The 26,105-nt window shown below is 37.2% G+C and overlaps 2 annotated features.

Moving 5' to 3' along the window:
* Positions 4,357 to 5,115: an enhancer, noted in NCBI's record as "OCT4-NANOG hESC enhancer chr14:87726633-87727391 (GRCh37/hg19 assembly coordinates)". NCBI's record gives its function as "activates a minimal SCP1, AML or CMV promoter by ChIP-STARR-seq in primed H9 embryonic stem cells {active_cell/tissue: H9 hESC(primed)}" and the evidence as "EXISTENCE:reporter gene assay evidence [ECO:0000049][PMID:30033119]".
* Positions 24,142 to 24,943: an enhancer, noted in NCBI's record as "OCT4-NANOG-H3K27ac hESC enhancer chr14:87706805-87707606 (GRCh37/hg19 assembly coordinates)". NCBI's record gives its function as "activates a minimal SCP1, AML or CMV promoter by ChIP-STARR-seq in naive H9 embryonic stem cells {active_cell/tissue: H9 hESC(naive)}" and the evidence as "EXISTENCE:reporter gene assay evidence [ECO:0000049][PMID:30033119]".

Genomic DNA, 26,105 nt, shown 5'->3' with positions numbered 1-26,105 from the left:
AAGTTAACTAGTAGAAAACTGTTGGTAATGCAAGTATTTCCTGCCTATGTCTTTGCAAATGATTCCCATTCATAGAAATGCAAAATATTTTTTACAAGTAGACAATACAAATTTCTATCAATCAAATCCTCAGTTGAGCAGTTTGAAACATCTTACCAATGCCCTCATTAATTCATGAGTTATCTATATTTGTGTGAGAGGGATGACTTAACTTACTTTTTAAAAATTTCTCTTTTAGGAAAAGGCAGAGAGAGCTGGTAAAAGGTATTAATCACTCAGAGCTCTGGATTTTCTGAAAGATAACCAAAGTAATGAAGGCTATCTGGTTGGGATCTGAGTAGAGAAACAATGTTGATTAAGTGATTCACCAAATGAGGTACTCAAGGACGTTACACTGAGCCAGAGTGTATACTCAGGAAGTGGGGAGTAACCACTACTAGATGTACACGAGTCGGCAGCATACAGCAAGCTTTGTGGGATCTGGTAAAAGTTAGGAGAGAAAACCCATTTGCTTCTGACTGGTTCTTGCTATGATATGATGGTCAGGAAAGCTGACTGAATTCAGAGGCAAGGATTGGACAGATAGGCCTGAATGAAACCTTGTGTATAGCAGAAGGTTTCAGAGGCATTCAAACCAGAGTGACTCCATCTTGAATAGGGGATGGGTAAAATGAGGCTGAGACCTGTTGGGCTGCATTCCCAGAAGGGTAGGCATCCTTAGTCACAGGATGAGATAGGAGGTCAACACAAGATACAGGTCACAAAGAACCTACTGATAAAACAGGATGTGGTAAAGAAGCTAGCCCAAACCTGCCAAATCTAAGGTGGTGATGAAAGTGACCTCTGATTGTTCTCACTGCTCATGATACACTAATTATAATGCATTAACATGCTAAAAGACACTCCCACCAGCTCCATAACAGTTTACAAATGCCATGGCAATGTCCAGGAGTTACCCTATGTCTAAAAAGGGAGGAACCCTCAATTCTGATAATCGTCTGCATTCTTCCTGAAAAACTCATGAATAATCCAATCTTTATTTATTACATAACCAAGAAATAACTATAAAAATAGCCAACCAGTGGCCTTTGGGGCTGCTTTTCCATGGAGCAGGCGTTTTTTAATTCCTTTACTTTTTTAGTAAACTTGCTTTCACTTTGCTCTGTGGATTTGCCTCACATTCTTTCTTGGATGGGATCTAAGAACCCTCTCTTGGGATCTGGATTGAGACCTCTTTCTGGTAACAAAGGTATGTCTTATTTATTTTTGTAGCCTCAATTTTTATCTCTTAGAACTTTATATATGCTGAACACTTGAAACATATATGTCAGACTGTTTCTTCCAAGTCTTCTTTTGTCTGAAACAAGAGAGTAGAACATCTATTCTTCTAACATTTTCCATTTCATATGATAAACCACAATAGCAATAAACACCCACAAGTAAAGTTTTATTTCCTAATCATTCTCCCGAACACTGCAAATTCCTCAAACATTTGTTTCCCAAGTTATTGCAGGTAACATTATGTTCTGCCATTGCATTACATAGATCATCATTTTTCCTTTGGGTCTCTTTCCTGTTCACTGTGCCACTGGTACATATTTTTGTATTTGTCATGGCAGCACACTATTTCTCCTGGTACTGATTTCTATATTCATCAGGAGACACTAGGTCATAAGTAGTAACGAACAGCTTCAAAATCCCCATGGCTTAACACAAACATTTTTATATCTAATTTACACTAATTTCTCTATGTGCCTAAGTAAGCCTCTAGAGCAACTGAACTCAACATGGATTACCAATTTATGCTTCTTCAGTCTTGTAAGTCTGCCATCTTAATGTGAGGCTTTCTCAAAATGATTCCAGTAAGGAATGATAAATCTGGATGATTCTGCACTGCTAATTCAGCAGCATGTCTCAAGAATGATTTTGGTAACTTCGTTTAACAGTCCATCGTCTCAACTAAGCACATGCTCCACTTCGCTGAGGTTTGCTAGGACCTATGTGTTCAGAATAGGGTTTTTTGGAATGTGCTTAGATCTCCGGATAGGGAGCACTACCTATCTCCAGATGGTATTTCAGAAGCTCACGAGAGGGCCCTACAAAACTTGAGATCAAGATCTGAGATGGGGCCACCATCTAGCCTTCTCTAGTAAAACTGGGAGGAAAACGAGCTGATCAGGGCAGCACCAAAAGAAGCTGGTGGTTGGAGCCAACAGCTAATGGGTGGAGCCTGACTGACAGGAACAATAAACAAAATCAATCAATCAAATAAATAAATAAATAAATATCTCCCCACCACCACCACTTCAATATTCTAATGCTCTTCTAACCTAAAAGTAAGCCAATTGGCCAGGGTATCTGGTATGCATAGCTGGCAGAACTCTAGTCTTGTTTTTATAGAGTCAAGAAAGGTGAATTTGAATTTGAAAGAAGGTAATAAATAAGTAAACCAGCATAGTCCACCCCTTTGGCTGCTGAGCAAACTTACATATCATCTTACACATATTTTACTCTGCAGGCAACAAAATAACAATGACTTCCTCTACCTAATAAGATGGCTTTCTTTGAGCAGATGGAGATGTTCTCATTTTCTTTGTAAATGAGATAAGAACAAAGACACCATGCAAGGTCAGTTTCTTTTAGCTCAGTCACAAAATTACTTAAATATCCTTTAACCCAAACACTAAATTAAAAGATCACCAATAAACTATTCTCATATAAAATAATAAGCAAAAAGCTGAAAAGGGAAAATTGTTGGTATATTATATATCAATCCACAAGTCATTTTTCACAATTTCTGCAACAACTGTGGTGAGTATATGTGCGTAGTTACCATAATCTTCACATGTGCATTGTTTCTGTAGCTAACAATAATGCTGTAGTTTAGTTTTTACTTTACTTTTTAAAGACTATTCATTGCACTTTTTCTTTGTACCTCCAGTGGCCTTGCTTCCTCACTTCGTGGGATGAGCCAAACCACTTCTAGAGTGTCTAACTGTTCTGTGGATTTGTTTTTATCGAATCACTGCAGGTTTTCCCTTAACTTTTAGTATTGGGACATAGAAATATTGAGAGATACCTAAGAGAATCCCCTGGGTTCTAGACCCACATTTCACTGATCACATAATGTAGTACCAACTCATTTTCCTCTTGATAAACTGAATCAATCCTCCAGCCAACACTGCAACACCTACTGGTGCTGTGACATGAGAAACCCAAAATTATCAGGTGTTAATCTCATTTTTTAACTCAGAGGAACTATTGTCCTATCATTGGCTGGCAGCATTCCATGCTTAAGAATTAAGGGAGTCTAACCAATTGAGTTTAAACTTTCAAGAAAAGATAATAAAATTTGCAAGTGGATTATTTATAAGAGAGAGAAGCTACCTCTACCCTTGGTTCCTTTACTTATGTATTATGGTTATAAGGAAAATAGCATGATATATTAATTACTTGTTTAAAGCATGCGACTCATCCTCTATGACACTAACATTTCAGAGTCTTTAATTCCTGCTAATGTTATGTCTGAATCTGAGTCTTCAGTAGACCATTTCACTCTTGGGTCAGGTCAGCTGTTTCTGGATAATGAGACACATAGTAATACCAGTAAATTCCTTGGGCGTGAACCCATTGTCCTGCTTCTTTGTGGATCTGAGTTTCTAGGTCAGAAGCAATGTTGTAAGAGATGTCATGGTAGTGAGCAAAATGTTCTTTAAATCTACAAGCTGGCAAAGCACTGTGGGCAAGGAAGATGAATGTGTATCTAGAATACATGTCTATTCTCGTAAGAAAGATAAGTTGTTGCCACCTCCATGATGAAAGAATTCAGCAAGAAGTATGCTTCTAGGTGGCTAGTGTGGGGAACACTGACATCTGGGAGACCTTAGTATTGGTCTCTGTTGTGGTCAAGACAGGATTCACTTGAGTCAGTAGCCAGATTAGCCTTGGTGAGGACAAGTCAATGTTTCTGATTCCTTTATATCATTTTCCACTTAATGGTATAGTCTACATATTATTCAATATATTGATTCTATGAAAACAAAATTAAATTCTTTTTTTTGAGACAGAGTCTCACTCTGTCACCCAGGCTGGAGTGCAGTGGGTGTCATCTCTGCTCATTGCAACCTCCGCCTCCTGGGTTCAAGCAATTCTCCTGCCTCAGCCTCCCGAGTAGCTGGGACTACAGGTACCCACCACCACACTAGGCTAATTTTTTTGTCTTTTAGTAGAGATGGAGTTTCACCCTGTTCTGTTGCCCAGGCTGTTCGCAAATTCCTGAGCTCAGGCAATCCACCCACCTGTCTCCCAAAGTGCTGGGATTACAGGCATGAGCCACTGTGCCTGGCCAAAAATATTTTTAATGAACATTTAATTTGTTTTCTGCTCAATTTTTAAAATAGCATCCTTTCTGTATTAGCAAAAGGTAACATCTGTTTGAGTAAGTTGTAAGCATGAGTCCCAATCAAATGAGCTTTTTTCTGAGTTAAATACAAAACAATTAATCTCTTTTATGGTTCAGGTTTCTAGAAAAATAATAGTGCTGTTAGTCTTAATTATTGGATGTTGTGTGCCTTTACTGGTTGCAATTTTATTCACTCGTATCGAATTGGGCTTGCAGTTTTTATTCTGTGTTGCCCCCTTTCATTAGAAACACTATGACTAAGGTTTAACTAAAGTAGCTTCAGGCTGCACCAGCAAAGTTGAATTGACTTTGCACAGCTTGACTTCTTCAAGTCTTTGGATAATTAGCTATGAACAGCTAGTTCCTGGGGCTTGTGGTCCATCAGGCTATTTTTAAAGGTGCTTATGTTTCAAAGGAAAACACCATGGGGTATAGCCCATGCATTGCCTTCTACCATTTTGTGTTTCCCCAGATTTTTAAAATAAACTCCAAATCCGTCTTCTGTAGAAATGCTTCCTAAAGAAACTTCTGCTCCCCATGGCATTTTGTGTACCTTACATGTAACTAATCTTTTAATATATAGTTACAGGTTATGTTTTCTTTTATTGTTGCTGTTGTTATATTTATTTTGCTCTTCCTATCACTCCCTTTTACTCTAGATTCTTCAGTTAGCCATTTGTTTCTCTATTGTGAGCACTCAAGTTGAGAGTTTTGGTTAAATAAAAATGGTATTGGAGCAAAGACCACTGACTTCAAAATTACTTACATTTACAATGGAGATCCTCATTTACATCATATCAAATGAGTAAATATTTGCAAAAAGAATTAAACCTTTAATAACAGACTATCATATATTAGCACCTTTGTATATTGGAGGGTATAATTATTGAAGAGGAACCCTCCAGAAATGTATCACAGCAGATTTATGGCTATCTATGTAATTAACAGGCTCGGTGTTGTCACTCATATTTGATCTTTGTCTTTTTCTTCTTATTCTCTGTCCTCCTCGATGCCTTGCCCAAATTGTTTTACATGGTAGGCATTCATCTAACATTTGTCGAATTCACAGTAACTTATTTTTCAAAAGTCCTACTGAATTAAAAAAAGGATTATATTGACAGACTTCTCATTCTTCTCAACTGATTTTCTAATCTGTTGAACAAATAAGCAAAATCTCCTTTGACAGCATTACTTCCCACATCAGAATTGTGTAAAGGAATGAGACATTATCATGACTATTCCAAGAAAAGAGTATATCAAGAAAGAAAGAATGCATACTATCTGGTGTTGATTTGGTAACAAGAAAATTTTAATCAAAGTGCCCAGATTTTGAACTAATATCTTTGGGGTATTTGCCAACATCATGTTAATATGCTTTTGGTAAGATGATTTGATTCCAGGAGACTTGCCTGCCTCGCCTGTGTAGGATATAAATATCTGATCAGGATGGGCTAGTAAATGTAACAAACAGAAGACTTAGAAGAACAAGTATTTCAGGTTTCCATCTTATAGCATATGATCACCATAGCACCTACTCTTGCAACCTCATCCCCTCTCCAACTGCCTGTAGTTATTTGACGTGGAATTGGAAATTAGACAAAAGGTTTTCTGGTAACAGAACATATAAATTAAATATACTATGAATTTTCTTATTGATTTTATTTAAGTGAGCATTTTATCATACACTGTTGTATTTTCTTTTGCTATTTTATTTCATCAATAAACTATATGCTGATTAAATACACTGAAGTTTATTTATATGTCTTTTGGTTGTCTCCTGTATTAGTTCATTTTCACACTGCTATAAAGAACTACCCGAGACTAGGTAATTTATGTAGGGAAGAGGTTTAATTGAATCACAGTTCTGCATGGCTGGCGAGGCCTCAGGAAACTTACAATCATGGTGGAAAGTGAAGGGGAAGCAGGTAACTTCTTCACAAGTGGCAGTAGAGAGAAAGAGAGCAGGGAAAACTGCCACTTTTAAACCACCAGATCTCCTGAGAATCCCTCACAGTCATGAGAACAGCATGGCGGAAAGTGCCCCCATGGTCCAATCACCTCCCACCAGGTCCTTCCCTTGACATGCGGGGATTACAATTTGAGATGAGATTTGGGTGGGAACACAGAGTCAAACCATATCATTCCACCCCTTGCCCCTCCCAAATCTCATGTCCTTTTCACATTTCAAAACCAATCATGCCAGCCAGGCACAGTGGCTCACACCTGTAATCCCAGCACTTTGGGAGGTGGAGGCAGGTAGATCACGAAGTCAAGAGATCGAGACCATCCTGGCCAACATGTTGAAACCCATCTGTACTAAAAATATGAAAATTAGCTGGGTGTGGTGGTGTGCCTGTAGTCCTAGCTACTTGGGAGGCTAAGGCAGGAGAATCGCTTGAACCCAGGAGGTGGAGGTTGCAGTGAGCCGAGATCACGCCACTGCACTCCAGCCTGGTGACAGAGTGATACTCCATCTCAGAAAAACAAAACAAAACAAAAAATGCCTTCCCAACAGTCCTCAAAGTCTTAACTAATTCCAGCATTAACTCAAAAGTTCAAATCCAAAGTTGCATCAGAGACAAGGCAAGTCCCTTTCACTGAGGAGCCCATAAAATAAAAACAAGTAAGTTACTTCCAAGATGCAATGCGGGCACAGGAATTGGGTAAATGGTCCCACTCCAAATGGAAGAAATTGGCCAAAACAAGGGGCCACAGGCACCATGGAAGTCCAAAATCCGACATGGCAGTCATTAAATTGTAAAGCTCCTTTGACTCCATGTCTCACATACAGTGCATGCTGATATAAGGGGTGGGCTCCCATGGACTTGGGTAGCTCTGCCCCTGTGGCTCTACAGGGTACAGCCCCCATGGCTCATTTCATGGGCTGGCGTTGAGTGCTTGTGGCTTTTCCAGGCATGTGGTGCAAGCTGTCAGTGGATCTACCTTTCTGGGCTTTGGAAGAGAGTGGCTCTCTTCTCACAGCTTCGCTAGGCAGTGCCCCAGTGGGGACTGTGTGTGGGGTCTCCAACACCACATTTCCCCTTCGCATGGCCCTAGCAGAGGTTCTCAATGAGAGCTCCACCCATGCAGCAGACATCTGCCTGGACATCGAGGAGTTTCCATACATCCTGTGAAACTTAGGTGGAGGCACCTGAAGCTCAACTCTTGTCTTCTGCACACCTACAGGCCCAACGACATGTGAATGCCACCAATGTTTGGGGCTTGCATCCTCTGAAGCAATGGCCTGAGCTATACCTTGGCCCCTTTTAACCACAGCTGGAGCTGGAGTGGCTGGGATGCAGGGCACTAAATTCTGAGGCTACACAGAGCAGCAGGGCCCTGGGCCCTGGCCCATGAAACCATTTTTACCTCCTAGGCCTGCATGCTTGTGATGGGAGGGGCTGCCATGAAGATCCCAGAAATGCCCTGGAGACATTTTCCCCATTGTCTTGGTGATTAACATTTGGCTCCTTCTTACTTATGCAAGTTTCTGCAGCAGAAAAAATGGATTTTTCTTTTCTACCTCATGGTCAGGCTGCAAATTTTCCAAATTTTATGTTGTGCTTCCCTTTTAAATAAAAGTTTCATTTTCAGGTGATCTCTTTGTGAATGCATAAGACTGAATGCTTTCAGAGTAACCACATCACCTCTTGAACACTTTGCTGCTTAGAAATTTCTTCCACCAGATACCTTAAACCATCTCTCTCAAGCTCAAGGTTCACAGATCTCTGGCACAGGGGCAAAATGCAGCCAGTCTCTGCTAAAGCATAGTAAGAGTGACATTTGCTTCAGTTCTCAATAAGTTTCTCATCTCCATCTGAGACCATCTCAGCCTGGACTTCATTGTCCATATCACTATCAGCATTTTGGTCAAAACCATTCAACAAGTCTCTAGGAAGTTCAAAACTTGCCCTCATCTTCCTGCCTTTTTCTGAGCCCTCCAAACTCTTCCAATATCTGCCTGTTACCTGGTTCCAAAGTTGCTTCCACATTTTCAGATCATCTTTATGAGACCACCCCATTCTGCCAGTACCAATTTTCTATATTAGTCCATTTTCCCACTGCTAAAAAGAACTCCTTGAGATTGGGTAATTTATGAAATAAAGAGGTTTAATTGACTCACAGTTCTGCATGGCTGGGGAGGCCTCAGGAAATTTACAATCATGGTAGAAAGTGAAGCAGAAGCAAGCACCTTCTTCACAAGGCAGCAGGAGAGAGAGATCAGGAAAAATTGCCAATTTTAAACCATTAGATCTTGTGAGAACTCCCTCGTTATCATAAGAACAGCATGGGGGAATCTGCTCCCATGATCCAATCACTCCCCACCAGGTCCCTCCCTTGACATGGGGGGATTATGATTTGCGATGAGATTTGGGTAGGGACACAGAGCCAAACCATATCACTTCCTTTCTCCTACCTCCAATTTCTGAGTTATTATAAGCTTGGTTAACTTGTTGAGGAGGGAAAAAGATAGTTTATTTTCTCTGGCCTCAGGGCTCCTTGAGGAAAGATGTTGTTTTATTTATTTTTGTATCTCCAGAGCCTATCTTAGGCCTAGCGCATATTAGCAGCTCAATGCACAATCTTAGAATGAAAAGAAAAATAAACAATTGTAACAATGGATGTACATATGGAATAACAAATATGTCTAGATTAGTACTATTAAGGATTATCTAAGACAGTCATGAAAATAAATGCACGGTAGTGACAATTAGAGGGGTTAGCCTTGTAGGACTGCATAAACTTGAATTTGGAATCCCTTCTGCTATCTGCTTTGAATAAAGACAGTTGATGGGCTGTGTTTATGTAACTGTGTGGTTATAATCTCAGCCTAAAGTAGAAAGAACTTAGGTTTTTGTCTTAAACAAAGGAAAAACAGACTGTATATAAGATGACTAGAGACAGACATAGCCATAGATACATTAAAATTGTGGGACAGGCTAAGAGCTCTCCTTTCTATCCATAAAGTCTTGGACTTGTGCAGCTCTGTATAAGTTATAGGAAAGAGACTTAAGGCTTTATAATAACATTGGCTGTCATAATATTGAGCTGGTGGCTTTAGTGCTATCATTTGGACTTTTGGTCCTAAATCACAAAGATTCCTTCAGCATATGAGTGATGGTATCACAGATGAATGGCTACCAATGAATGTCTTCATCACACTTATGGTAGCGACATGGGTCTCTGATACTTTGCATCACATTTTAAGACAATATGCTCACCTTTTCAAATGCCTAAGAAATTGATATCTTGTTACCTTTGGCCAGGTGATCATGTTATGAAGACTAATATAAACAGTGGTTTTGGCTGCTTACTTGTACTAGGTGGCATGCTCAGAGTCACCCTAGGATTTGGAAGATCTACAACTACCATTCTCACTTCTGGTATGCCTACATGCAGGCACTGAATTCTTTATGTAGAAGATATTATACCAGTGAGCAGTACTATAAAACACCTATGGCAACAATTTCAGGATATACCACCTATGTTCAGGTTTTCCTCATTTGTTTTCCTTCTATTTATATAGAGTTGTTGTAATTCCCAACAAGCAGCACTGGCCTCCCACATTATTTATTGTTTCAATATAGGGGACAATTACATATAATTAGCTGGATGACACTACTCATTTGCTGGTGGAATTTGCTATGAATGCATTTGCTCCTTCTGGGAGTTGCTTTCTATTTCCTGCACCACTGCTCTTCTGCTGTTTAGAGAGACTTACCCTTTTTTTCCCCTTATTTATTGCTTCATTGGTCCAAGGCAGGAAGAAAGCATATAAAAATCACTATGCAGCAGCCTGTGAATAACTATCACAGGAGGCAGGGAAATTGCTGCATACCAAGTAGAAAACACATAAAGAGGCACAGGGTCAGCTTGCAACAACCGCACGTTCATTTGTGAGTGAAGAAATCCAGGGAAATTTGTCAGTGCCTTGTAATATTTTACAAAAATCATCACTTGATGGCATGGAAGATACAAAAATCAAATAGAATCTTATTTCTCCATCATGATGTGTTCCACATAATTTGACTCATCAGCTGGCTGAAGGTTACTATCTTGTTATAAAACTTTAAATAATTAGCATTTTCTAAAACATATTTTCTAAATTCTATTGGTCTTTCTCCTGCTTTCTTAAACAGAATTTACAGAATTAGAACCTACCATGAAATTCTCCAGAACAAGAACTTAAGCTAGACTATGCTCAGAGGAAAGACTCTTTCTTCTACTGAATCTTAAGGCGTTAAGTAGCCAGTATTCCTGAAGTACTGTTGGTGTGGCCGGCCCTGTATACATGCAAAGCTCTTTAACAAGTTGGGTGGAACATGCCTTAGCGATCCATTGTTTGCAGTGGTCTTCTTTAGGCCATAGCAGCCTGTCTTGCCATTCTGCACATGCAAGTCTGCATACTCATTTTTGTTGAGGTCTCCCACAGGGGCTTATCTCGATCTCCTACTTGGCCTCTTTCCATCCCAGATTTTTACCTTGTTGGTTTCCCTTATTCATAGCTCCTTTAAGCTGATCATGTTTACCCCTTGTCTCCTTGGCTAACTTCCTGACTTTGACACAGTAATCTTACCTTAACCTCTCTATGAATTGCATCTCTCATATATTTTAGAGGAGATTATCCCAAATGCTTATAATTAGTTATAAGAATTTACCATTTGTTCCTTTTTTGCGTTGGCAACCAGAAAATTATAAGAAGTTTCATGCACGTCCATGTGAAGAGACCACCAAACAGGCTTTGTGTGAGCAATAAAGCTTTTTAATCACCTGGGTGCAGGCGGGCTGAGACCAAAAAGAGAGTCAGCAAAGGGAGATAGGGGTGGGGCCATTTTATAGGATTTGGGTGGGTAGTGGAAAATTACAATCAAAGGGGGTTTTTTCTCTTGTGGGCAGGGGTGGGGGTGTCACGAGGTGCTCAGTGGGGGAGCTTCTGAGCCAGGAGAAGGAATTTCACAAGGTTAATCGCTGAGTTAAGGTGGGGCAGAAACAAATCACAATGGTGGAATGTCATCAGTTAAGGCAGGAACAGGCCATTTTCACTTCTTTTGTGATTCTTCACTTGCTTCAGGCCATCTGGACATATATATGCAGGTCACAGGGCATACGATGGTTTAGCTTGGGCTCAGAGGCCTGACAAGAAGATTGGAAGGTCTTTCTTCTTAATTCAGTTGAGTATACTACAATCTCCTTTCCTCCTTTAGGGCACTGAATGTTATTGAACCATTCCTAAGGATTGTAGAATATGATGTATGGGGGAGTTAGAAAGAGTTATAGAAATTATATAACTGAACACTCCCATTTTACTCATAGAAAAATGGAACCCAGAGAACCAAAGCAATGGGCCCAAAGACACAGGAAACTGCTGAAACTGGAACCCATGCTTCCTAATTTTGGCTATTGCTTTTTCCAAATTCTGATTTTTTTAAGCCTTGTCTCCTAATTTCTGGTATAGAGTGTATTTCTGGTTCCTGCTATTATATTCCTCCTCTCTTGTGACTTTTCTTCCGAGGCTTACTATCCTTGGCCATGGATACCCTCCAAGAATTAAAATAGAGTCATTATATACTTCGATAGTCATTATATACTCACATCTCTGAGACTCACCCACAAGCCAAACCTCTATTATACAGGTTTTTGTGTTAAAAAGTTCTAAATATGGTTTTCCATCTTTACTGGCTTTGTTAGTTGGCTTTCTTTAGTTAACCATTAGAACTTTCTTACTTAAATGCCTCATAATTTATACATGAATTGTTATAAGATTACTCATTTTACAACCAAAACTGAATTTCCCAATATTTGTCATTGCAATCTATGTATTCCAAATTCCTACACAGAGTACAGGTTTAATAATTATCTAAAAATAATGATGGAGATACTGTTTGTATCTGAATTTCTTTCATTGCAGCTATCTAGGTGATTCTATAGGGAAAAAAAATAATAAATTAATTGGTATATGTGACTCTTCTAGTGCATAGAGCTTATACCTGTTATGTTAGATTAAATGTTGGTAAATTATACTATCCACAGTGTAGAAAAAGAACAGACTCAATTTCACCAAGCATTTCACTGGTATTAGTTCTGTTTATATAAGGCCAGTTGGCTAGACATAATTTCTAAAGATATCAAAAATATTTTCTACTAATTAGTCTCTCCATATTTCCCAATATGGACAAGAAACTAAAAACTATTCAATATATATTTGATGACCCTCTTAGAGTACAGAGTAAAAGAGATTAGTTCAAATCCCAGCTTTGCCTAGTTCTATAACCTCAAAAATGTATTTAATGTTTTTGTGACTTTCCTTATTTATAAAATGTGAACAATAATAGTACCTAATTTATTGTGGGAATTAATTGAGGGGGCACACCTAACACCTACAGCACAGTTCTTATTTGCAAGACGAGAAATAGAAGCTTTTTATTTGCTTTAATATTGTGAAAATTGTAAGATTCCAAATAGAGTCACTTGGGTTAATTCCTGACAAATGGAGCCAGGGAAGGCCATGAAAGGAAGTGCTCTCATTCAGGATTTGCCTGATAACAGGAACTATCACAAGAAATTTTTGCAAACCACAAGTTACTACACGAGTCACACAAGGACAACTAGTGGCACAAGGACAGCTAGCCGGTTACACAAGAACACTTGCCTGTTTCAAAAACTCTCGCGAACCCAGCTCAAAGCTGGAAAGGCTTAACTATAGCTTTAAGATTACAAGTCTTATCTAGCAACTACTGACACTCACCAATCAGAGCTCACCAGCTCTTATAAGATGCTGCCAGTGCCAGTAAGGTTTCTCTGAAAACGACTTGTATAACTAGTCTTTCCTGACTAAATTCTAACCTTTTTCTTTGTTCTATAGACATACCAGAGATCATCCTGGTCTGTATGTATGTCCTGGATTGCAATCTTACCTCCTGTATATTATTTGCAAACAAAACCTTTTTGCTTAGAGATTCACCTCTTTATGTGGACAATATTATATTTCTCTAAGTAACATATAGCAGATAACACTTAAATAATAAGGCATTGATTCAATTTGATATCATAAAATACAAAAAGAGTGTTCAAAGCACCATGAGAAGGAAAATACAAAAAATGGCATACATCTTATCTTCAAAGAACTTAAAACCAAAAGTATTTAAAAATATTTTCTTAATGCTTTCCCTTTTTAAAACACTCTAGAAACACTTGGTATTTATTATTTTGGATTCAGCCTGTCACTGGGGCAACATTATTTTTTATATTAACTTATTCCCTCTCCCATTTCTCTCCCAATTCATGACCACTTGGCACAATCACGAAATCATTTCTCATAGGCAGTGTTTAATTTAATTTTATTTTAGGAGCACAGTCTGTACACCTTTCCCTTAGCCAGAAGTCTTACCCTTACGTCTGTCATGGGGAAGTAGGAAGGGACATGGATGGCACAGGATATAACTTCACTTCTAATAACACAACTTGAATTTTCAGTACTCTTCATGGGTAAGCCCACACAGCTCTTTAGCTCTGGTTGCTAAGAACAGCCCTTTACCTGAAGCCAAAGCACAGGAAAATATTCAATAATGCATTTCCTATGCCCCTGAATACCAGTCTGAAAACAGAAAGAAGTTAAACACTTTGTTCAATCATTTATTAAAATGAAAGTAGCCCCCTGGGGCTGCAGGAACATGGGGAGCCATTGCCAAGTTCAATTTATTTTTAGCTGTTGTCAATTGCACATGAAAAAGACCCTAGTGTGCAGTCCTGTCCTGTTGACATTTCCACTAGGTAATTTACCTTGTGCTCCACTCTCTCTGGAAAACCCTCCAGTTATTTTGTGAGATAAACAATAGGTGTCTTTGCTTCAGTGAACTTTTGCTTGAGTTTAATGACCTGCACTGACTGGATGCAGTTTCCTCACTTCTGTGAAAAAGAAAATGCTATTACTAACACCCCTTTGCTTAGAAATTGCTTCTTAATGTTCAGTTTATTTTAGCTTTGGGGTAATTCTATGCACTTGCTTCTCAAATTTTTTTCCCTTTCAATGGATCACAGACACCTACATTTGGACGTCTTAGTAGGAGCCAGCATGGCCTAGTGGATGAGCTCAAAGGCTACACAGTAGGGCAGTCTACATTTCATTTTTTTTTTTTTTTTTTTTTTTTTTTGTGACGGAGTCTCGCTCTGTCCCCCAGGCTGGAGTGCAGTGGCTGCAAGCTCCACCTCCCGGGTTCACGCCATTCTCCTGCCTCAGCCTCCTGAGTAGCTGGGACTACAGGCACCCGCCACCACGCCCGGCTAATTTTTTGTATTTTTAGTAGAGACAGGGTTTCACCGTGTTAGCCAGGATGGTCTCGATCTCGTGACCTCGTGATCCGCCCGTCTCGGCCTCCCAAAGTGCTGGGATTACAGGCGTGAGCCACCACACCTGGCCCAGGGCAGTCTACATTTCAATCCTAGCTCCACCATCTGCTAGATATATGATCATGAACTAGTGACTTTCCTGACTTAAGACCCAGTTTCTCTAGCTAAAAATAAGGCAAATAATTATATTCATTTTATATATAAAATAAGAGAAATTAAATGTGATAATCTAGAGTTGCTGTAGTACCAAAGCATACTACTCACTAAATATTTGCTATTGTCAAAATTACTAATAATAAATATTAGTGATTTTCATTATTAATATGAATAGTACAGTGCTCTGGGTAAGAGATTCTGCCAGAATAAAAGCTAGGAACCACATTTTTTTTTTTTTTTTTGAGGCAGATTCTCACTCTGTCACCCAGGCTGGAGTTCAGTGGCGCGATCTTGGCTCACTGCAAGCTCCACCTCCCGGATTCAAGCCATTCTCCTGCCTCAGACTGCTGAGTAGCTGGTACTACAGGCACCTGCCACCACACCCAGCTAATTTTTTTGTATTTTTAGTAGAGACGGGGTTTCACCGTGTTAGCCAGGATGGTCTCGATTTCCTGACCTCGTGATCCACCCATCCCGGCCTCCCAAAGTACTGGGATTACAAGCGTGAGCCACCATGCCCAGCCCACATTTCTTTCTAAAAAGCTTTTTCTTCCTCGAAATTGAAGGGGAAAAGAGCTGGAGTTTTGGCTTGCGTGCATGTGTATATATGCAGTATGCACTTATTTTATCACTTGAGTATAACATACATCTAGAAAAATCAAACAAATCATGAATATACAGCTCAACAGATTATGACAAAGTAAACACATCTGGATAACCACCATCCAAGTTTGCACCAACCCAGTAGAAAGTTATCAGTACCTAAGAGGCCCTTCATGCCCCTACATAATCACTAGTCCCTCTATCTCCCCTACAGGTCATTAATATCTTAATTTGTAGCACCCTATATGGTATTTGCCTGGATTCAAGCTGTATATAAACTGGGTTCGCATATAATACACATTATATTGTTTTGGCAATTTTTACTCACATTATAATTGTGATTTTTTTTTTTTTAAGATGGAGTTTTCACTCTAGTCATCCAGGCTGGAGTGCAGTGGTGCGATCTTGGCTTACTGCAACCTCTAACTCCCAGGTTCAAGCGATTCTCCTGCCTCAGCCTCCTGAGTAGCTGGGATTACAGGTGCATACCACCACACCTGGCCAATTTTTGTATTTTTAGTAGAGTTCGGGTTTCATCATGTTGGTCAGGCTGGTCTCAAACTCCTGACCTCAAGTGATTTGCCTGCCTCAGCCTCCCAAAGTGCTGGGATAACAGGTGTAGCCACTGCACCAGCCTAATTATGAGAGTATCTTAAATTTATTGCCATCTAGTCTTCCTTTGTATCATTTTTTCATTCTAATGCTGATGGACATTTGAGTTCTTACCACGTTTTAGCTATTTTATATAATGGCCAATGAACACTCTGGCACCTGCTTTTTGGTAAACATGTGGTCATACCTCATTTGAGAATATGACTAAATAAAATCAGATGTATGTTCAACCTCAGTAGACACTTTCAAACTTTTCCAAACTGGAAGTGCTGATTTCCTGTTTCATTAGCCATATGTGGAAGTTTCCACATGCTTGTCTACATTCAGTGTTGCTAGTCATTTTTATTTTCACCATTCCAGTGAATGTGTAAGGATATTGTATTGGTGATTTTAAACTTCATTTACCTGATAACTAAGTTAAACATCTTTTGGTATTAACTGGATGAGTATCTTGTTTTTTGGATCTTATGTTTTAGTGTCTTGCCCTTTCTTTAAATTGCATTATTCATTTTTACACGTTTGTTTCTTATATATCCTTGATATAAGCCCTATTTTGGTTTCAGTGTTGCAAACTATCTTTTTCTTGTCTGAGGCTTGCCTATTCACAGTCTTAATGGTACCTTTTGTTGTATGGAAGTTCTTAATTTCAACATAAGCTAATTTATCAATTATTTTCATCAATGTTAGCTTTTTGGAACCTGTGTAAAAAATTTTCCCCTACCTAAGCAAGATAGTCTTCTGTTATCACCTAGAGGTCTTATTGTTTTACTTTTTACCATTAGATCTGTGATTCACTGAAGCTGATTTTTGTGTCCTTTGCAATGGGGTTGTGAAATGTAATTTTTTTCTCATATGGATATTCAACTAGCCAGCACTATACACCATTCATTGCAAAACAGTTCTTTCCCATTGCTCTGTAGTGCTAATTTTTGCGTATATCACTTGTCTGCATATGGAGGGACTGTTTTTTATACATGTCTATCCTTATATCGTACCACATTGTTTTAATTAGTTATCTTTACAAGTTTTACTATCCAATAGAATGAATCCTAACACTTGATTCTTCTAAAAAATTGTCTTGTCTATTTTTACCCCTCTGCATTTCCATATAAAGACATTTATATATTATGGAAACTTTCAAGCATATGCAAAAGTAGAAACACAGGGTAATGATGCCTCATGTACACATCAACTTCTTTCAGCATTTATGAACTTCGTACATAAATCCACTTTGTCTGGCTACAGTGGCTTTGTGTACAAATCTAATATAGGTATGTCAATTAGGTAATAGTACTGTACTAATGATAATTTCCCAAGTGTGATCATTGTTCCATGTTTTCATGAAAAATAAACAATGACTTATTTTGAGATAAGGGAAATTATTTCTGCAATGTACTACAAACTTTTGTACCAGTTTCAGAAAAAATATAAACAGGAAGAGAGGAAAAGCAAGAGAGAATGAACAAATACTTAAACTAATGTACTATAAGTTTGCACTTGGAGAATCCAGGTGAATAGTATATAGGAAAGGAAAAAGTTGAACTTTTCTTCTAAGATCCAGGAAAAGACAAGGATGCCTATTTTCACCATGTCAATTCAACATAATATTGGAAGGCTTAGCCTGAGCAATTAGGCAAGAGAAAGAAATAAAAAGCATGCAAATTAGAAAGGAAAATGTCAAGCTGTCTCTGTTTGCAGACATGTGATCTTACATACAGAAAACCCTAAATGCTCCACCAAAAAACTGTTAACATTAATAAACAAGTTCAGGAAAGTTGCAAGATACAAACTCAAGACACAAACATCAGTAGTGTTTCTATAAACAAACAGTGAAGTATCTGAAAAAGTAATTTAGAAAATAATTCCATTGATAATAGCTACAAAAAATACATAAGCTACCTAGGACAAATTGGACCAAGAGGTGAAAAATCTCTACAGTAAAAACTAGAAAACACTGAAAAATAATTAAGAAAAAAAAATCTATTTCATTTGTGTCCTGTTTTCATGGATTAGAAGAAATAATATTCTATGTTCATGAATTGAAAGAAACAAGACTGTTTAAATGTTTTTCTAACCAAAGCAATTTACAGATTCAATGCAATCCCTAGCAAAATACCAATGACATTCTTCACAGAAGTAGAAAAGAGAAACCTAAAATTCATATAGAATCTCAAAAGGCCCTGAATAGCCAAAGCAATCTTGAGCAAAAGGAACAAAGCTGGACGTATCACACTGCCTGACTTCAAAATACACTACAAAGCTATAGTAACTAAAACAGCATGGTACTGGCATAAAAACAGACCAGTGGAACAGAATAGAGAGCCCAGAAATAAATTCACACATCTATGGCCAATTGACTTTTGACAAAAATGCAAAAATACACATTGAGGAAAGATCAATTTATTCAATAAATTATGCTAGGAAAACTGAATATCCACTTATAGAAGAATAAAATTAGACTCTTATCTCCCAGCAGATACACAAATAAATGCAAAAATGAGTTAAAGATTTAATGTAAGACCAAAACCTATGATATCACTGGAATAAAACATAGGGAAAATGCTTCATGACATTGACCTATGCACAGATTTTTTTGAAAAGACCTCAAAAATACAGGCAACAAAAGTAAACATAGACAAATTGGATTACATCAAATTAAGAAGCTTCTGCACAGCAAGAAAACAATAAAGTGACGATACATCCAACATAATGGGAGGAAATATTTGCAAACTATAGATCTGCCCAAAGGTTAATATCCAGAATACATAAGGAGCACAAGCAACTCATTATCAAAAAACCCCACAAATAATCCAATTTAAAAATAGGCAAAAGATCTAAATAGACATTTCTCAAAAAGTGACATACAAATGGCCAAAAAGTATATGAAAAAAATCACTGACATCAGGAAAATGCAAATCAAAACTACAATGAGATATCACCTCATTCCAGTTAGAATGGCTATTATAAAAAAAAAAGATGGAAAAAAGCAAATGTTGCAAAGATGTGAGGAAAAGGAAACACTTATACACTGTTGGTGGGAATGTAAATTAGTATAGTCATTATGGAAAATAGTATAGAGGTTCCTCAAATAATAAAAAATAAAACTACCATGTGATCCAGCAATCTTATTGCTGAGTATTTACCCAAAGAAAATGAAACCAGTACGTCAGAAAGATATCTGCACTCTCATGTTTATTGTAGCACTATTCACCATAGCCAACATATGCAATCAACCTAAGTCTTTATCAACAGATGAATGGATAACAACAGGATAATATATATACACAACTACTATTTAGCCATAAAAAGAATGAAATTCTGTCATTTGCAACAGCCTGTATGAACCTAGAGAATATTATAAGTGAAATAAGCCAGAAATAGAAACAAATATCACATAATCTTACTCATATGCAGAATCTGGTAAAACACTCCTCAGCAAATGCAAAAGAATGGAAATCGTGACAGTCTCTCAGACTGTCTCAGACACTTTCCTAAAATTTTTGTATGGACTTGTCCAGTCGGTCCAAGGTGTTAATCAATGTACAATAGGATGTGTTAGCAATTACACAGACTACATCTTGGCCTGCAAAGAGGAAGTCTAAGTCCATTCTATTATTCATAACAACCCTGGCCAGTGAAGTAAAGCTGACCTGAATGCCTTTCAGAGATAAGGTGATCTTACTGATAACTCCATATAAGGTCAAGCACAAACTTTGTGCCGTCTTTTCAATGGGCATAACTCCCATAATTAAAAAAAAATTGGCCAAAGAGCATGAATACATGGACACTCTAATTAAATTTCGATATAAAACATTTTTAAAACATCAACTTGTTGACAGCTATTCCACCATTGTTTATACAAGAACAGGATTTTTTGCTTGTGTCTAACATAAAAAGTACACATTTGGGTAAATACATTCATATTGATATCATTTTACTTATATGTAATTAACCTGGAAAGGTTGAACTTCTCTTTTGATTTTTCTAGCTCTTCTCATATTGTTGGTTTGATGAGCAGGACAGCCCTTGCAATGATGTTGAGTAAATTAAAAACATGAAAAATGTCAAACTTACCTAATTATTTCTACCCTTCTCATTTTTTAAAGTGAATGAGTTTATTTTTGGCATTGCCCAGGAACAACCTGGGAAACCCCAAAGATAGGTGAGGTGCAAATGATATTCTGTTACTGTGAATTTGGAGGCTGAATTTGAAAACTGTAATATCAAATAGAATTGTCAAAGCAGAAAAAGCATGAACATAAGTTCGAGGCATATAAAGGCAAAAAGTTTGAAGTAATATTCAAACATAGAACCAAGTGGCAAAGATTTTTAGGATCCTTTGCTTTTTCAAGAGTGACTTCTCAAAAAAAAAATCAGGAATATGCACAAAAGTCACAAAAATTTAAGGTCTCATGGTATAAAATATTTCTTATCCAGACAAAACACAAAGAAGACACAGATTAAAAAAAAAAACTATTTTAACGGAAAATAAACCAAATTATAGTTTTACCCCTTTTTATACAACCAACGTAACATTTTTTTCTGTAGTAAGCCAGGTCTTCATCTTATAAACAAAGCCATAAACACTGAAACAACTCTGTAAAAATTTCACACAGTTTAATGCTTTCAAACTCATTATTTGCAAGTATTTTACACCAAAGTAAATAAACATCATAACTCTTCAAACCTTCTACAACTTAACTATGCTGTTTACTATCTTCTTTTCACCTTCTGCCACAAAAAGGCAATTTTACTTAAGACGTAATTAATCTCTTTGTTTCTCAAAAAAAAAAGTGAGGAAAAACATATCCATTTTTTATTCACATATTGTTTTACAACTATTATAAGGAACATAGTTCTAGCAAGACATAAGAGTTATAACTTTTCACCCAAGTAATTTACTTCTGGTCCCCCACAGGCACAGGGAAAACTGTAAGGCAAGTAAATGACAGCTCTTTGACATACTTAAGCACAGATTGGAAGACCAGAGCTCCAGGAAAGACTTTATGACTCATGAGGACATATATATTTTCATTCACTCATACGTATTTGTTACACATTTATTAAAGTGGCAAATATAAACATGTATATCATTATGACCCAATGTTGTCTACTCATCCTTTCCAAACTGTTACCTAACATATACTTTTTATATACATTATTTAATACACATATTAAAATTATGTTGACAAACAAGTGTTTTCATAAGAGATATGACAGAAATTTTTACTGACACAGTGCAAGGAATTAAGTCATTATTACCTCTAACATTACAAAAATTAATCCACTTTTATAGGCTAGCATTTATAATTTAATTATTTGAACATATAATTATTACATTTGTCATTTTAAACATTTATTGGAAGCAGTGCAAGCAAACTTGAACAATGAAATGATTGTAGTGCATTTAATTAGTACAGATTAATTTTTAAATTTTTTAATTAGGAAAATCACAACCCTTTTAAAAAAATATTATTCACATTGTTAACTATTATAAGACATACATATGTTTTGAAACCAGTATTTGTTAAAAAAGTTACCTTAACTAGAAATATTACTTAAAATGCCCCTTTGATTTTATATGTGAATCAAAAAAAACCCACACATCTAATTTTGCTTAAAGTGCTAAAATTTTCTAGATTTCTACCCCCACTCTGCTAACATGATGTCAACCATTGCTTCTTAGCTTGCATCAGAGGAAATCAACACTGTAATTACAGGAAAATGGTAGAACTAACATATACAATAATTAGTTCTTAAAACTAATTGAAACACAAACAGACTATGATATTAGCCATTTACTAATTTATTCCAGAAACTAAATTACTCCCATAAAATATAGACTATTACAGGTGGTAATACAGGTGAATTCTACCAAACCTTAAGTAAAAAAGAACTCCAATGTCCTTTGCCCTGTAAAACGAATGTGCCATTTGTTAGATGTTCATTATTAGGACATATATAATGAACCTCAATTTATATATATATATATATATATATATATATATAAATTTATATATAAATATATGTTATGTATGTTTATATATTTATATATGTGTATATATGTATGTATACACATATATACATATATGTTATATATAACATTGTCATATGTTACATACAACATATACGTTATGTATAACGTATGTAGCACATATTATATATAACACATAAAATATATAACACACATTATATGTTTTATATAATATATAATGTATGGTATGTTATATATCATACATATGATATACGTAACATATATAAGGTTATATACATCATGATATAAATATGTAAGACATTAAAGTACCTCAATGTTATATACATATGTCCTAATAATGGACATATAACAAACTATACATGTTTTAATGCTACATTTGGTACATTTTGATATATGTATATACCATGAGACCATAACCACAATCAAGACAATCATCACCCTCAAAAGTGTCCTTGTATCCCTTTGCAATCCAGCTTTCCTGTTCCTCCTCCCATCCCTAGGCAACGATTGATCTGCTGTCTATCAATAAAGATCAGTTTGCAGTTTCAGAATTTTATATACATGGAATTGTATAATGCATCTTCTTTCTTATTTGGTTTCTTTTACTCAGAATATTTACTTGCAGATGCACCCATGTTGTTGTATGTATCAATAGTTCATTCTTTGGTGTTGCTGAATAATATTTCACTTAATAGATACACTGCAATTCATTTATCCATCTTATTAATGGACATTTTGGGTGGTTCCAGTTTGGGGCTCTTACTGATAATACTTCTGTGAAAATGCAGATTTTATGAGTTTTGCTCCCATTTCTCTTTAGTAAATATCTAAGATTGAATGGGTGAGAAATACGTATAACTTTGTATAAAACTACTACATTATTTTCCAAAATCATAGTACTATTTTACACTTCTACTACCAGTAGATGAACAATCCAGTTAGTTACTCCTCATTCTTGTTAGAATTTTTTATTTTAGCCCTTTTACTAATTCTATCTACAGTGGTAGCTCAATGTGCTTTTATCTGAATTTCCTAGAGTTTTGAGTATCTTTTCATGTGTTTATTTGCCATTCATGTATCTTCTTTAAATAAGTGCCTTTCCCATTCTTTTGCCCATTTTTTAAGCAGGGATGGGGTTTTGTAATTCCTGAGTTTTGAGAGTTTTTAAATATATGCAGGACAAAAGTCACTAATCAGCTATATGATTAGCAGTTACTTTCTTTTTTGTTATGGCTCGTCTTTTCATTTTCTTAAAAGTGCTTTTTATAAACAGAAATTCTTAATTTTGAGAACTGTAAATTATCTTTTTCTTTATGGATTATACTTTTTGTGTTGTGTTTAAGAACTCTTTCCAATAAAATGTAAAAATATATTTTCTTTTATTTTTATTAGAATTTACATACATTTTAAATTTGAATTTAGGTATGTAGTAATTTTGAATTAATTTTGGTATATGTTGTGATTTATAGGTCAAATTTCTTTCTTTTTCCCTTTTTCTTTCTTTGCACAAAAATATCTAATTGTTCAGGTATCATTTTTAGAAAAGTTTATCCTCATTCTCCTGAATTACTTTTGTATCTTTGTTGAAAACCTATTGGTCATATATGTGTGAATTTATTTCTAGACTATTCTGTTACACTATTCTATTTCTCTCTCTTGATGCCAGTACCACATGTCTTCATTACTGAAGGTTTATAAATAGACTCAAAGTCAGCTAGAATAACTGCTTCATCTTGGTTCTTTTCCAAGTGGGTTTGGTTATTTTCAGCCCATGCGTTAGAGCGTTAGAATAGACCTTTAGGATGTGTGGGAATGGGTCTTTGTATGTATGTATATTTTCTGATGTGGAATCTTGGAAAAGTACCAATCCTAAAGGGTGACAAATAATTTTATATTTTTGAAAATTTTAATTATAGAATTGGATACAAGATTATGTTATTCATTATAGATTAAAATTATCATAGACAAATTTATGTGTCAAAAGAAAATTAAATTATTAGATGTTAGAAGCTACATGAGGGATTCTGCACAAGCTGAACGTCTGTTTAATATACCACCTCCAAATGCTGCCTCAGCATTTCATAGAAGGGAAAAATAGAATTCAAAGAATCTAAATAATTTGTTCACATCTTCTCCTAATATTGATATAATTGGTGGTATTTAGGCTTAAACAGATAGTGTCTGAAATTTCTGCTTTTCACTTACTAGCAGTGTGACTTTAGATATGATTTATTTTAATCTCTTGAAGGCTTAATTCCCTTATTTTTAAATTGGAAAAATAGTTTTCTTTCAGGACTGATTTTGAAGTTCCTGGCACAATTCAAGAATTCAATGTGTTGTGACTATTAATTAATACAAAGTGAAAAAGATAGAATTTGTGAACCTTGGTCTTCTGCTTCGCAGTTCAGGAATCTTTCTGCTACATCTTACTGCCTTTCAGTACATGGGTTGATAAAAGAACAAGGGAGAGAGAAAGAGAAAGAAACACAGAGGGCTTTGTCAGGCCTCTGAGCCCAAGCTAAGCCATCATATCCCCTGTGACCTGCACATACACATCCAGATGGCCGGTTCCTGCCTTAACTGATGACATTCCACCACAAAAAAAGTGAAAATGGCCTGTTCCTGCCTTAACTGACGACATTGTCTTGTGAAATTCCTTCTCCTGGCTCATCCTGGCTCAAAAGCTCCCCTACTGAGCACCTTGTGACCCCCACTCTGCCTGCCAGAGAACAACTCCCTTTGACTGTAGTTTTCCTTTATCTACCCAATCCTATAAAACGGCTCCACCCTTATCTCCCTTTGCTGACTCTCTTTTTGGACTCAGCCTGCCTGCACCCAGGTGAAATAAACAGCCATGCTGCTCACACAAAGCCTGTTTGGTGGTCTCTTCACATGGAATTGCATGGAATTTGGTGCCGTGACTCGGATCGGGGGACCTCCCTTGGGAGATCAATCCCCTGTCCTCCTGTTCTTTGCTCTGTGAAAAAGATCCACCTACGACCTCAGGTCCTCAGACCCACCAGCCCAAGGAACATCTCACCAATTTTAAATTGGGTAAGCGGCCTCTTTTTACTCTCTTCTCCAACCTCCCTCACTATCCCTCAGCCTCTTTCTCCCTTCAATCTTGGTGCCACACTTCAATCTCTCCCTTCTTTTAATTTCAATTCATTTTCTGGTAGAGACAAAGGAGACACGTTTTATCCGTGTACCCAAAACTCCAGCACCGGTCACAGACTAGGGAAGGCAGCCTTCCCTTGGTGTTTAATCATTGCAGGGACACCTCTGTGATTATTCACCCAGGTTTCAGAGGTGTCAGACCACGCAGGGACACCTGCCTTGGTCCTTCACCCTTAGCGCCAAGTCCCACTTTTCTGGGGAAGGGGCAAGTACCCCAACCCCTTCTCTCTGTGTCTCTACCCCTTCTTCGCCTTTCTGGGGGGCAAGAAACCCCCAACCCCTTCTCCTTCACCCTTAGTGGCAAATCCCGCTTTTCTAGGGGAGGGGCAAGTACCCCAACCCCTTATATCTCTGCGCCCCGATCCCTTATTTCCATGCCCCAACCCCTTATATCTCTGTGCCCTGATCCCTTATTTCTGCACCCCAACCTCTTATATCTCTGCACCCTGATCCCTTATTTCCATGCCCCAACCTCTTATATCTCTGTGCCCCAATCCCTTATTTCCACACCCTGACCCCTTTCCCGCTTTTCTGGAGGGTAAGAACGCCCGAACCCCTTCCCTCCGTGTCTCTACTCTCTCTTTTCTCTAGGCTTGCTTCTTTCACTATGGGCAACCTTCCACCCTCCATTCCTCCTTCTTCTCCCTTAGCCTGTATCCTCAAAAACTTAAAACCTCTTCAACTCTCACCTGACCTAAAATCTAAGTGTCTTATTTTCTTCTGCAATGCCGCTTGACCCCAATACAAACTTGACAGTAGTTCCAAATAGCCGGAAAACGGCACTTTCAATTTTTCCATCCTACAAGATCTAAA

Source organism: Homo sapiens, chromosome 14 (assembly GCF_000001405.40).
Source record: "Homo sapiens chromosome 14, GRCh38.p14 Primary Assembly".
NCBI lineage: Eukaryota > Metazoa > Chordata > Mammalia > Primates > Hominidae > Homo > Homo sapiens.
The sequence above is the reverse complement of the archived record's forward strand: the minus strand, read 5'-3'. Positions and strand labels throughout refer to the sequence as shown.